The sequence below is a fragment of the Homo sapiens genome, chromosome 4, assembly GCF_000001405.40.
Source record: "Homo sapiens chromosome 4, GRCh38.p14 Primary Assembly".
Lineage (NCBI taxonomy): Eukaryota > Metazoa > Chordata > Mammalia > Primates > Hominidae > Homo > Homo sapiens.
Window position 1 is genome coordinate 123,076,472 of NC_000004.12, and position 13,894 is coordinate 123,090,365.

At 36.7% G+C, this 13,894-nt stretch overlaps 1 protein-coding gene across 17 annotated transcripts in view; it reads left to right on the plus strand.

The window, feature by feature from the left end:
* The window catches only part of AFG2A (AAA ATPase AFG2A), a 396,356-nt gene that overhangs the window by 153,394 nt on the left and 229,068 nt on the right, over positions 1-13,894 (plus strand). The gene's annotated exons all lie outside the window — the stretch shown is intronic.

Genomic DNA, 13,894 nt, shown 5'->3' on the forward strand with positions numbered 1-13,894 from the left:
CATCCTAGGGTTTAAGATATAAAATTATTTTTTAATTATATGATGAAAATTTATGTACATTTAGATTGCCTTTATTTTTATTTTTATTTGTTTTTTTTAGAGATGGGGTGAGTCAGTCTCTTAGCCTTTTTTTGGGGGGTGGGGGGTGATAAACAAGTAAACATAGAAGAGATTACCAGTCAGTATATATTCAGTGACATTTTATGTCTTGGGTTAGGGATTTTTTTCCCCTCTTAAAGGAGACTTTTTGCTTTTGACCCCCAAAAGAAATCAATGTAGAAATAAAGATAACTGCAACACTGTCTTTAGCCTTATTTTGAACTCAGACCTATCTACTGAGTACTATCTACTATCTACTGAGCTCAGGTCTATCTTCAGAATACTCCCATCTAGATGTTTCAGAAGTACCACAGATTTATACTTGTTTTCTCTTTGGTGCAGTTGTTATTCTACCCAAGATCATTTTGGGGAAACTCAAGCCCTGTGCTGTGTGTGTGTGTGTGTGGTGGTGGTGGGGCGGGGGGGTTGTGTGGTGTGTGCATGTGTGTAAGTGAAATTTTTTTTTCCTGTTGTTGTTTTTTTTTTTTTTTTTTTGAGACAGAGTCTCACTTTGTTGCCCAGGCTGGAGTGCAGTGGCGCGATCTCAGCTCACTGCAAGCTCCGCCTCCTGGGTTCACACCATTGTCTTGCCTCAGCCTCCTGGGTAGCTAGGGCTACAGGCGTATGCCACCACGCCTGGCTAATTTTTTGTATTTTTAGTAGAGATGGGGTTTCACCATGTTGGCCAGGATGGTCTCGATCTCCTGACCTCGTGATCTGCCTGCCTCGGCCTCCCAAAGTGCTGGGATTACAGGTGTGAGCCACCGTGCCTGGCCCCTTTTTTTCCTATCTTAAAACCACTTACTGGCTCTGTTACCTGCATGATGTCTAAGTCAAGAACTGTGAAAGATCTGGGGTTTTCTACTTGCAGGCTAACAAGTAGCCTTCCACAGTTGCATGGATACTGGCAGAAACCATGAGGCTCATGGGTCAGAAACGAATGACTTCATTATTCACAGCACAGCAAGCAGCAAGAATATCTGTATGTTTGTATCAGTTCCTCCTTTACACTGCATCCAAAAGAGGTGATGCATATGGGCCATATGGATATCTGCACATCTGGTAGGTTGCATTACAGGACAGGAATCCCACTCTTGGTTAACTCAGATCTTTTATCTTGGGCAGTAAGCTTGCCTGCCCTTTGCCCCTGAGGGAGGTAGATGAATTGTGTAGCTTCTGAAGCTCTAACCAAACCTACTCTTTGCTCTGGAGGGGGACGTTGTTTCTTGTTTTTGTTCTTCACCATTTTAAGTGTACAATTCAGTGGTACTTCAGTATGTTTACAATATTATGCAGCCATCACCACTAATTCCAGAACATTTCCATCACCCCAGTTAGTGCCTTGCTCATAAGACTGAAGAAATGTGAAAGACCCGTGGAGAATTGTCTCCCAAAACACACATTATTTGTAAGAGAAAATCATATCTTACACAGATTATATTAATGGCAAAGTAGCATGGGAGAGGGTCACAGAAGTGGGTTGGACGATTCCGTTAAAAGCAGGGAACATTCTAGTTAAGGCACTTGGATAGGCATTGGGTGAGAGTTTTCATGTCTTTTCTGCTAGATTGTTCCTGTTTTTTTTCTCTATGTGCACCTGATTTTATGCTTTTTTTCATCTAGCACATTATCTTTAATATATTTGACATTGAACATTTGTTTGTTAAACCACCAAAAAGTTTCAAACAAGAGAAATCTGTTTTGACTGTTGGAAGGCAGAGACAGCACAAGATTAGCCTGTTCTGCTGAAGTCATAGTTCAACCTTAATGAACGTCAAGGAATAAAAGACTGTACATATGAGGTGTGTAGTATTAGCGTGTTTGTGAAATCATATACCCAGTAGAACAAAACACTGATTTTGCTGCTTTTGAATGTGCACATATTATTTTTGTGCATTAATAATAGCTAGTCAGTGTTTGGAACTGAGACTTTTGTCTAGAATTGTATAGAGGTAAAGAGCATGGATTTACGTAGGCTTAGTAGAAGAACTAATTTTAAAATAAATGGTCACATCATAAGACCTAAGTCAGGTTATCAATAAATATTTATAAGTGTCTGTAACTTGCAAGGCCATGTCAGGTAATGTTCAGCAGTCCCCAACTTCAATCTAGAATGGAGATGGCTACCAAAAAGTATCTTTGGATTCCTAGGACCCACAGAGATTGACTCAGTGGGTTTGATTGTTACCCTGGATTCATGGGTAACACTAAATGGTTACCCATGGGTAATCTAAAGCACAGCTAGATTTCTGAACCTTTATTTCAGGATAGCTGAAAAACATAGAGATGAGACATTAAAGCCCCCAGTCCTCTAACAGCTACCTCCGACCAGTTCTTTGTTTAGCATAAGGATTACCTTCACCTAGGAACTTTTTGAAGTGTCCAGTGCCCTCCTTTGTGCTCTGATTTTCTTCTGTTTTGCATTGTTTGAGAAGTTATGTTGTTATTACTGTTTTTATGAGGGGAATGGTGTTAGGAATGAGGGGTTCTCTTTCTATAACACTCCTTGAGGGAATAGGGACAGTCTTCTTTAATCTTCTCATTTCTGTTTCCTAAAGTAGTGCCTGCCAGCTAGTGTTTATTGAACAAATAAATTGAATTGAATGAATTGTTATACATTCTAATGAAATTATTCCCCTTATTTTTCTTCCAGTCTTCCTCCTGCCATGCCACAATGATCTTTGCCTAACATGAGATAAAACTTACTTAGCTATTTTTTTACTGCTTGGTAAACTCAAGTAATACATTCACACTTTCCAGTAAGACACTTGGCCATCTTACTAATTCATTGGGAGAAATAGAGAGCATATATATAACTAAGGATAGGATCTGACATTATTTGGATGTAGCTCCTGTTAGAAGGCAAAGCAAGCAATAACATGCATAAATTAGATGTGGCATGGCCCAGGATTTTGTCTTTTGATGAAAGTAGGCCATTCCTTTGGAACTGTTTAGTTATGTTCCATGAACTCCTCTAGGTAGGGCACAAAAATTAGAAGAATTCTGTTTTATCTAGTAGTGTAGTCAGGTTAACATTTTTTTGTTGATGTGTAACCCTCGCCAATGCTAGGAGTATAACCTTCCTATTGATAAATCCAGTTGTTATTTTTTATTTCTTTACTTGACTCGAAAATATTTGACACAGTTAACTCCAGCTTTTTTTTTCTTTTCCTTCTTTTTTTTTTTTTTTTTTTTTGAGATGGAGTTTTACCCTTGTTGCCCAGGCTGGAATGCAGTGGCGAGGTCTCAGCTCACTGCAACCTCCGCTTCCTGGGTTCAAGCGATTCTCCTGCCTCAGCCTCCCGAGTAGCTGGGACTACAGGCGCCCACTACCACACCCGGCTAATTTTTTGTATTTTTAGTAGAGATGGGGTTTCACCGTGTTAGCCAGGATGGTCTCGATCGCCTGACTTCGTGATCCATGCGCCTTGGCCTCCCAAAGTGCTGAGATTACATGCATGAGCCACCGCACCTGGCCAACTCCAACCTTCTTGATACACTATCCCCTTTATTCCTTGGTTTCCTTTCTTCTTCTCTGATACCCGTAAAATTCATATATTGAAGCCCTAACCCCGAATGTGATGGTATTTAGCGATGAAGCCTTTGGGAGATAATTAGGTTTAGATGAAGTCGTAAGGTTAGTTCCCACATGATGGGATTAGTGCCTTTATAACAGGAGATAGCAGAGAGCTAGCGCTCTCTCAAGTTTGTGCTCTCACTCTCTCTCTGCCATCTGAGGACACAGCGAGACCGCAGCCACCTGCAAGCCAATAAGAGAACTCTTGCTGGAACTTGCCCATTCTGGCATGCTGACCTTGGACTTCCATCTACCAGAATGTGAGAAAATAATTTCTGTTGTTTAAACTACTGAATTTATGTTATTTTGCTCTGGCAGCCCCATCTGACTACTGCACACCCCTTCTCCTTTGCAAATTCCCCTATCACTTCCTGTACCTAAAATACTGGTGTTAGCATTCTCTTCATTATGCATTTACCTTTCTTCTAACTATGTATTTTTTCTCGGTGATCTATTTCCATTCTCCAGGTACCATCTTTATGACAAGGACTGGTAAAATTTGTATTTCCATTTTGTACCTCTTTCTAACTCTAAATATCTAAATCTCCAGTTGTCCCACAGGACAACCCACCATGTTTACAGTTAAAGTTTTTTTCATCCGGTGACTCCATGGAGACATTAGTTTATCAGCCCTATTGATTGTATTTCCTTAATATTTCTCACATATATCCACTTCTGTCTCTTTTGCCATGATTTTAATTCAGACAGCTAACTATCCGTCCTGGATCGCTCCAACATTTTTCTAATTGACTGACATCAATAATACTCTTAAATTTATTTATTTTTTCTAAATAGACTTTTTTTTTTTAGAGTAGTTTTGGGTTCACACCAACATTGAGTGGAAAGTACAGAGTACTCATATATACTCTGTCTTCAGAAACACACAACCTCCCCAGCTGTTAACATCCTGTGGGAGAGTGATACATTTGTTACAATCTATAAACCTACAATGACACATAATTATCACCCAAAGTCCATAATTAACATTAGGGTTAACTCTTGGTATTGTACATTCTGTGGGTTTGGATGAATGTGTAATAACATATATCTACCATGATACTGTCGTACAGAATAGTTCCACTGCATTAAAAATCCTTTGTGCCATCCCTGTTCATTTCTGCCTCCTCTGTAACCAGGTGTTAACCTGGCAACTGATCCTTTTACAGTCTACGTAGTTTTGCCTCTTTTGGAATATCCTATACATTCCTATGCAGTGTTCCTGTAGTTGGAATAATGCAATATGTAGCTTTTCCAGATTGGCTTCTTTCATGTAGTAGTATGCATTTAATATTCCTCCATGCCTTCTCATAACTTGATAGCTTATTTCCTTTTAGCACAGAATAATATTCCATTGTCTGGACCTACCTCAGTTTACCCATTAACCTACTGAAGGACATCTTGGTTGCTTCCAAGTTATGAAGACTGTGAATAAAGCTTCTGGGAACATCTGTGTGCAAGTTTTTTGTGGATATAAGTTTTCTATTCCTTTTGATAAATATCCAGGAATGCAATAGCTGGAACCTGTGGTAAGAGTATTTTTAGTTTTCTGAGAGTTTATTTTTGGAACTTCCAAACTGTCTTCAAGAGTGGTTGTACCATTTTTTACCCCATCAGCAGTGAATAAAAGTTTCTGTTGCTTCACAGCTTCATCAGCCTTTGGTGTTGGCAACTTTCCTGATTTTGGCCATTCTAGTGGGTGTGTAATGGTATCTTATTGTTTTCATTTGCAGTTCCCTAATAATATATGATGTTGACCATCTTTTCATATGCTTATTGTTTGTGTATTTTCTTTGGTGAAGTGTTTGTTCAGTTTTTGGCCTATTTTTTAATCTGCTTGTTTTCTTGTTGAGTTTTAAGAATTCTTTGTATGTTTTGGATAACAGTCTTTATCACATGTGTCTTTCGTAGACACTTTCTCCCAGTCTGTGGCTTGCCTTCTCATTTTCTTGATGTCGTCTTTTACAGAGCAGAAGGTTTTTGTTTTAATAATGGCCAGCTTATCAGTTGTTTTATTTGTGGATGATGTCATTGCCATTGTACCTAAATAGTCATTTCCATACCCAAGGTCATCTTGGTTTTCTCTTATGCTGTCTTCTAGGTGTTTTATAATTTGTGTTTTACATGTAGGTCTGTAATCTACTCCGAGTCAGTTTTTGGAAGAAGTGTAAGGGATGTGTCTAGATTCATTTTTTTTGCATGTGGATGTACACTTGTTCCAGCATCATTTGTTAAAAGGACCATCTTTGCTCCCTTGTATTGCCTTTGCTACTATGCCAAAGATTAGCCAGCTGTATTTATGTGGGTCTATTTCTAGGCTCTCTGTTCTGTTCTGTTGGTACTTTTTGTGTGTGTCTCTGTCTCTCTCTCTCTTTTTTCTTTTTTTTTTTTTTTGGTCACTACCACACTGTTTTGATTACTGTCGCTTTATAGGAAGTCTTGAATTTGGATAGTGTCAGTCCTGCAACTTTGTTCTTTTCCTTCAATATTGAATTAGCTATTTTGGATCTTTTGCCTCTCAGTATAAACTTTATAATGGGTTTGTCAATATTCATAGAATAACTTGTTGGGGTTTTGGTTGGGATTGCATTGAATCTGTGGATCAAGTTGAAAAGAATTGACATCTTAACAGTGTTGAGTCTTCCTTTCCATGAGTGTGGAATATCTCTCCATTTATTTAGATTTTCTTCAGTTTTCTTTCATTGGTGTTTGTATTTTTTCTCATATAGATTTTGTACACATTTTGTTAGAGTTATAACTCATTTTTTTGGGGTGCTAATATAAATGATAATGTGTTTTTAATTTGAAACACTTTTTAATTGTTGATATATAAGAATGCAGTTACTTCATAGGTTAACCTTGTATCCTGCAACCTTGCTATAATTGCTTATTAGATTCAGGAGTGGTTTTGTTGATAATTTCACACTTTTTACATAGATGATCACATCATCTGCAAAGACACTTTTATTTCTTCCTCCCCTATCTGTACCTTTTATTTCCCTTTCTTATGTAGTGTGATGTTGAAAAGGAATGGGCAGAAGGGTCATCCTTGCCTTGTTCTTAATCATAGCAGAAAAGCTTCTAATTTCTCACCATTAAGTGTGATGTTAGCTGTAGGTTTTTTGTAGCTGTTCCTTACCAAGTTAAGGAAGTTCTGCTCTATTCCTGGTTTGCTGAGAGGTGTTTTTTTGTTTGTTTGTTTTTACCAATAATGGGTATTGGATTTTGTCAAATATTTTCTTCATCTATTTATATGATTATGAGATTTTTTTCTTCAGTCTTGATGAGATGGATTAAATTAATTGATATAATGTTACATCAGTTGTAACATCAATTGTAATGTAATGTTTTCAAGTGTTAAACTAGCCTTGGGTACTTGGAATAAATCCCACTTTATAATGGTATATAATTATTCTTTTTTTTTTTTTTCTTTTTTTTTTAAGAGACAGGGTCTCACTCTGTTGCACAAGCTGGAGTGTAGTGGCACAATCATAGCTCACTGCATTCTTGAACTCTGGGCTAATGTAATCCTCCCACCTCATAATTATTTTTACATGTTGTTAGATTTGATTTGGTAAGATTTTGTTGAGGATTGTTGCATCTATGTTTATGGGCAATATTTGTCTGTAGTTTTCTTTTTTTGTGATATGTTCGTTTGGTTTTGGTATTCGTCTAATTGTGGCTTCATAGAATGAGGAAGTATTCACTCTGCTTCTATTTTTTAAAAGAGATTAGAGAACTGGTGTAATTTTTTCCTTAAATGTTTGGTTGAATTCACCAGGAAACGATCTGGGTTTTGTGCTTTCTGTTTTGAAAGGTTATTAATTATTTATTTAATTTCTTTAACTGACACAGGCCTATTCAATTTGTTTATTCTTGTGTGGGTTTTGGCAGATTGAAGTTTTTAAGGAATTTATTCATTTCATCTAGGTTATCAAATTTTGGGCCATAGGATGTCTTAGTTTTTTAAAATTATCCTTTTAATATATATAGATCTGTAGTGATGTGTCCTCTGTCATATCTGATATTAGGAATTTATGTCTTTTCTCTTTTTTTCGTAGATAGCCTGGCTACAGGCTTATTGATTTTATTGATTCTCTGAAAGGACCAACTTTTAGTTTCATTGTTTTTTTCTCTTTTGACTTCCTATTTTAGATTTCATTGATTTCTGCTCTAATTTTTATTATTTCTTTCGTTCTGCTTACTTTAGCTTGCTCTTCTAGTTGCTTAAGGTGAAAGCTTAGTATTGATTTTAGATCTTCTCTAATATATACTCTCAATACTATAAGTTTTGCTTTAAGTACTGCTTTCTCTGCATTGACAAATTTTGATAAGTTCTATTTTCTTTGCATATTTATAGACAATAGAACTTTGATAAGTTCTATTTATATATTTATAGATATATATCTATAAAACTAGTGTATATATGTAAATAGTATATATATATGTGTGTGTGTGTGTGTGTGTGTGTATATATATATAAAGAGAGAGAGACAGAGACAGAGACAGGGTCTTGCTCTGCTGTCCACACCTCAGTGCAGTGGTGCGATCACAGCTCACTAAGGCCTCAACCTCCCTGGCTCGAGTGATCCTCCTGTCTCAGCCTCCCAACTAGCTACAACTACAGACATGCATCACCAAGCTTGACTACATTTATTTTATTTTTTATGGAGATGGGGTCTCACTCTGTTGCCAAGGCTGGTCTCAAACTCCTGGCTTCAAGAAATCCTTCCACCTCGGCCTCCCAAAGTTCTGCGATTACAGGCGTGAGCTACTGCACCCGGCCTAAAAATATTTTAAAATTTCTCTTGAAGTTTCTTTTTTTTTCCTTTGTATTACAAGTGTGTTGTTCAGTCTTTTAAGTATTTTGGAATTTTTTTTTTTTAGCTGTTTGCTGTTGACTTTCAGTTTAATTCTATTTTGGTCTGAAAGCAGACATTCTATGATTTCTTTTAAATTTGTTCATGTGTGTTTTATGGACAAGAATGTGGTCTATCTTGATGAATATTCTGTCTGAGTTTATGAAGAATGTGTTGGCTGTTGCTGTATGAATTAGTGTGTAGATATAAGTTATATCCAGTTGAATTGTGATTTAGTTCAACTATGTTCTTATTGATTTTTTTGCCTGTTGGATCTATTTCTAATAAAGTGATGTTGAAGTTTTCAGCTATAATAGCGTATTCATCTGCTTCTCCTTATAGTTCTATTAGTTTTTGCCTCACGTTTTGCTGATTTGTTGTTAGATGCATACACGTTAAGGATTGTTCTGTCTTCTTAGACAATTTACCCTTTTATCATTATATAATACCCCTTTTGGTCTCTGAGAATTTTGCATGCTTGAAGTCTACTGTGTCTGGAATCAATATAGCTACTCCAGCTTTCTTTGGCTTAGTGTTAGCATTGTATGTCTCTCTTCATTTTTTTTACTTTTAAGCTATATTTGTTTTTGTTGGTAAAGTGGGTTTCTTGTAGGCAATATATAGTTAGGTCTTATTTTTTTTATTCATTCAATCTCTGTTCTTTAATTGGTGCATTTAGGCCGTTGATGTGTAAAGTGATTATTGATATAGTTGGATTAATATCTACGATATTTGTTACTGTTTTCTATTAGTCGCCTTTGTTCTTCATTCCCATTTCTTCTTCTCTTTCATGGCTTTAATTGAGCATTTTATGTTATTTTATTTTATCTCTTTTCTTAGACTGTTAAGTTTTTTGGGTTTTTTTGTTTGTTTGTTTTTCAGTTGTTACCCTAAGTTTTGCAATATATTTCTACTTTCAAATAGCCCTATTCACTTCACAGGTAGTGCAAGTACCTTATAATAAAAAAAATTCCTAAGTTATCCTTCTCATGTCCCTTGTATCATTTTTGTCATTCATTTCACTTGTCCGTAAACTATAGGTATCAAATACATTGTTGTTATTTTGAACAAGCTTTTGTTAGATCAGTTAAAAGTAGGAAAAATTAAAGTTTTTATCTTCTTTATTTCTTCTTTCTCTTTCTTTATATAGATCAAAATTTCTGACCTATATTTTCTTCTTTCTGAAGAACTTTAAACATTTCTTGCAAGGCAGGTCTACTGGCAACAAATTCCTTATTTTTATTTGAGAAAAATTTTCTCCTTCATTTTTGAAGGATGTTTTTGCAGGATATAAAATTATACATTGGTGGGTTTTTTTCTCTCAATAGTTTAAATATTTCGCTTCACTTTCTTTTTGCTCACATGGTTTCTGAGGAGAAGTTAACGTAATTCTTGCTCTTCTGTAAGTAAGGTGGTCCCCACCCCTCGACATATGACTTCTTAAAGGTTTTTTAAAAATCTTTGATTTTCTGCCTATGTGTAGCTTTTTGTTTGTTTGTTTGTTTTTACATTTATTCTGCTCAGTGTTCACTGGACTTCCTGGATGTGTATCTGACATTAATTTGGGGAAATTCTCAGTGAATGTTTCTTCAAATATTGGTTCTCTTCTTTCTTCTTTTGGTGTTGCTATTACACATGCTACACCTATTTGCTTCATAGTTCTTAGATATTTTGTTCTGTGTGGTTTTATTATTTTTTTTTTAAATCTAGTCCAGTATTTTGTTTTCATAAAGTTTTCCTTATCCTTGCTTTTCAGTTTTGGAAGTTTGTATATACATATCCGTAAGTGCAGAGATTCTTTCCTCAGCTGTTTCCGGTTGACTAATGAGCCCATCAGATGTAATCTCTATTTCTGTTACAGTGTTTTTGATCTCTAGCATTTCTTTTTTATAGCATTTCTTTTTGATTCTTGCTTAGAATTTCCATCACTCTGCTTACATTACTCATCTTTTCTTACTTGTTGTCTACTTTGTCCATTAGAATCCTTAACATATTAATCATAGTTTTTTAAAAATTCCTGGTCTGACACTTCTAGTGTTTCTGCCACATTTGACTTTGCTTTTGATGTGTACTCAATTTCTTCAAACTGTGTTATTTCTGTCTTCGTAGGCCTTGTAATCTTTCTTTGATAGCCAGACATGATATATGGGATAAAATGAATTGCAGTAAATGAGGCTTTAGTTATATAATGGTAAGGTGTTGGGGGGAGTATGGGAAGGAGTGTTCCATGGTCCTGTGATTAGGTCTGAGTCTTTTAGTGAGTCTATACCCTTGGACTGTGAACTTCACAATTTTCTCCCGTTAGGTGGGACAGGATGGCTAGATGGAGCTGGAGTTTTTTATTTTCATTCTCCCATGGGAAAGGCTAGAGAGGGCTGAAGTTGGGTATTTCTCTTCCTCTGGGTCAGTTGGTGTCTAATAAAACCTCAATAACATAAGCTCTGGGAAAAAATATTTTCTCTTGAGGAGCAGGCCTTTTTAAGAAGAGAATGCTCTAGTGTATTTCACAATGGGTACTTTTCCTTCCTCCTGCCAGAAGCACAGGGTAATTTTTCTCAGATCTTCACTGTGAGAAGCTGGTGTAGTTGCTGAAGATAAAACTCACAAATGTGTGAGGGACCCCGCTCTATGACTCTCAGACTTGTCAAACACTGAACCCCCAGCAGTTTGTTAATTGCATTTCCAGTTGTCCTACCCTGGCACTGGCTCTCATGGAGGTTTCTCTTTGTGGGTTTCCGCTCCAGAAAGTTGTGATTTTCTGTACCTGGGCTGTCTGTCTCTCCAATTTTGGGGGCAGTGATTTGCCCTGTGACCTTACTAATATGATGTATCTAAGAAGAGTTGGTTTTTCAGTTTGTTCAGCTTTTTACTTGCTGTTAGGACGGAGCGAAGACTTCCGAGCTCTTAACGTTCTGGACCAGAAATTGGAACAATGCTGTCCTTTTATTGTCTCTTCTCTACACTGCAGGCAGCCATGGTGTTTCTCAAAAACACAAATCTGATTAGGTCATGTCTCTAGTTGAAACATCCCATTAACTGTAGCATAAAATCCAAACTCCATGATTTGGATAACAAGGTCTTTGTTTTCAGCCTTGGTTTATTTTTCTGTACTATCTTTTATAATACATTTTCACTTTACTGTTATGCTGAGCCATTGTGCACTTTATCCAGTTTTTAGTATTCTGTGTTCTCTCTCTTTCCCTCCTTTCACCCTTTGCTTGCCTGATACCCACCAAGTTTTTAGGTTTTACCTTAGAAACCATCTTTCTTATGACAGCCCACCTTGACTCTCCTGAGACCTGTCCATATTACCTTCCTGAGTTTTTTCTGGTATAGAATCACAAGTGATTAGCAGAGTAGATACAATTAAAGGCCTCCGATGTAATTTATTGGCAGCCTGAAATATTTACTATGCTTGTAGTAATTATGAAAGACCTCCTAAAGCTTTTGCCAACTGTGTTTCTACTTGACAGTTAAACTCCCACGTGGAAAAGTTATATTATGGAGAATCTTTTGAAGGATGTTGATAGTGTTTGGCTCTGTGTCCCCACCCAACTCTCATGTCAAATTGTAATCCCCGTATGTTGGAGGAGACTCCTGGTGGGAGGTGATTGGATCATGGGGGCAGATTTCCCCCTTTCAGTTCTCATGATAGTGAGTGAGTTCTCATGAGATCTGATGATTTAAACGTGTGTGGCACTTCCCCCTTCGTGCTCTCTCTCTCTCTCCTCCTGCCATGTGAAGAAAGTCCTTGCTTCCTCTTCTCCTTCAGCCATAATTGTTAGTTTCCTGAGGTCTCCCGGTCATGCTTGCTGTTAAGTGGAACTGTGAATCAATTAAACCTGTACTCTTCATAAATTACCCAGTCTCAGTAGTTCTTTATAACAGTGTGAGAACGGTCTAATACAGATATAGAATCCATTTGTTTATAGTGTTCAATGTTTATTCTTACGTAGAGTCAAAAAAGCAAATTTGTGTACCGGCAGAGTAGCTACCTGCAAGAATTAGTGCCCAAAACAGTTCTCATTGACTTTGCAAGTACTCTTTGGTCCCATATATTTTAAATACTGGAGAAGACCATGTTAAATTAATAAATTAGCGTTGTGATTTGTATGACAACCTCATGTGCATTTGATTAGTGTGAGTTAGAGGCTATTCTCCTGTGGATACACTAAGTCAAATTTTTGAACTTATAAGTCTAAATACTTAACTAAATACTTTAACTTATAAGTCTAAATACTGTCATTTAGAGATGCTGATTACCTTATTATTAAATATATTACATGATGATTATACTGAGGTGTGTTTCTTTGTCACAGGTGCTAACAAAGTTATTGGGTGTGTATCTCCTTCTACTTTACGTCCTCTTCCACCCAAGTGCATCTAATTGAATTTACATGTTTAATACGCTTACAATGCTGTGTTACTCTATAATTGTCCACTCAGTTGTTTATTACATATTTATCAATTCCAAATAGGTCTTGGAGGAAATCCAAGCTATTGCTAATGAGAATTATTTTGCACATTTTGACTGTGTGATACAGGGTTTTGTTCATTAGTAGGATCTGTTGAGTTTACTTCTTTTTTTTTTCTTTTTTTGGGACAGAATCTCACTCTGTTGCCCAGGCTGGAGTGCAGTGGCGTGATCTCCGCCCACTGCAACCTCCACCTCCCAGGTTCAAGGTATTCTCATGCTGCGGCCTCCTGAGTAGCTGGGATTACATGTACATACTACCACACCTGACTAATTTTTTTATTTTTTTTAGTAGAGACGGGGTTTCGCCATGTTGGCCAGGCTGGTCTTGAACTCCTGGCCTCAAGTGACCCACCTGCCTCGGCCTCCCAAAGGTTTTACAGACGTGAGCCACTGCGCCTGGCCCGAGTTTATTTCTTAAAAACTTATATTTAGTAATTTTTTTGTGGTCAAAGGACATGAAGTTAGAGGATAGTGTGTTTAGAACTGGCTTTGTAATGGACTTGGTACGTAAACCAAAGGAAAAAAAACTAGCCTGCTTTCTTTGCCTGTTTCTCAAGAAATCGGGATTGTGGTGATTACCTACCTTCTGATGTGTTTTAAAAATATTCTTAATATTTATGAAGAAACATCAGAAATATCCTAGTTGCTGTGGATGCGTAATGAGTTTTTTATTTCACATAGACTTTAGGTTTCATGTGAGGAATGGGTTTGCATCTTACTCAGTTTTTTATTCTAATTTCTGTCAACATATTTACCATGTAGAATATAAACATTGATTGAACAATTCTCTATGTATTTGATGAACTATTTTAAATAATCTTATATCTTGTTTTCCAGTGCTTTTATTTCTGACATTTATTTAAATATTTTTGTTTTGGAATGAAA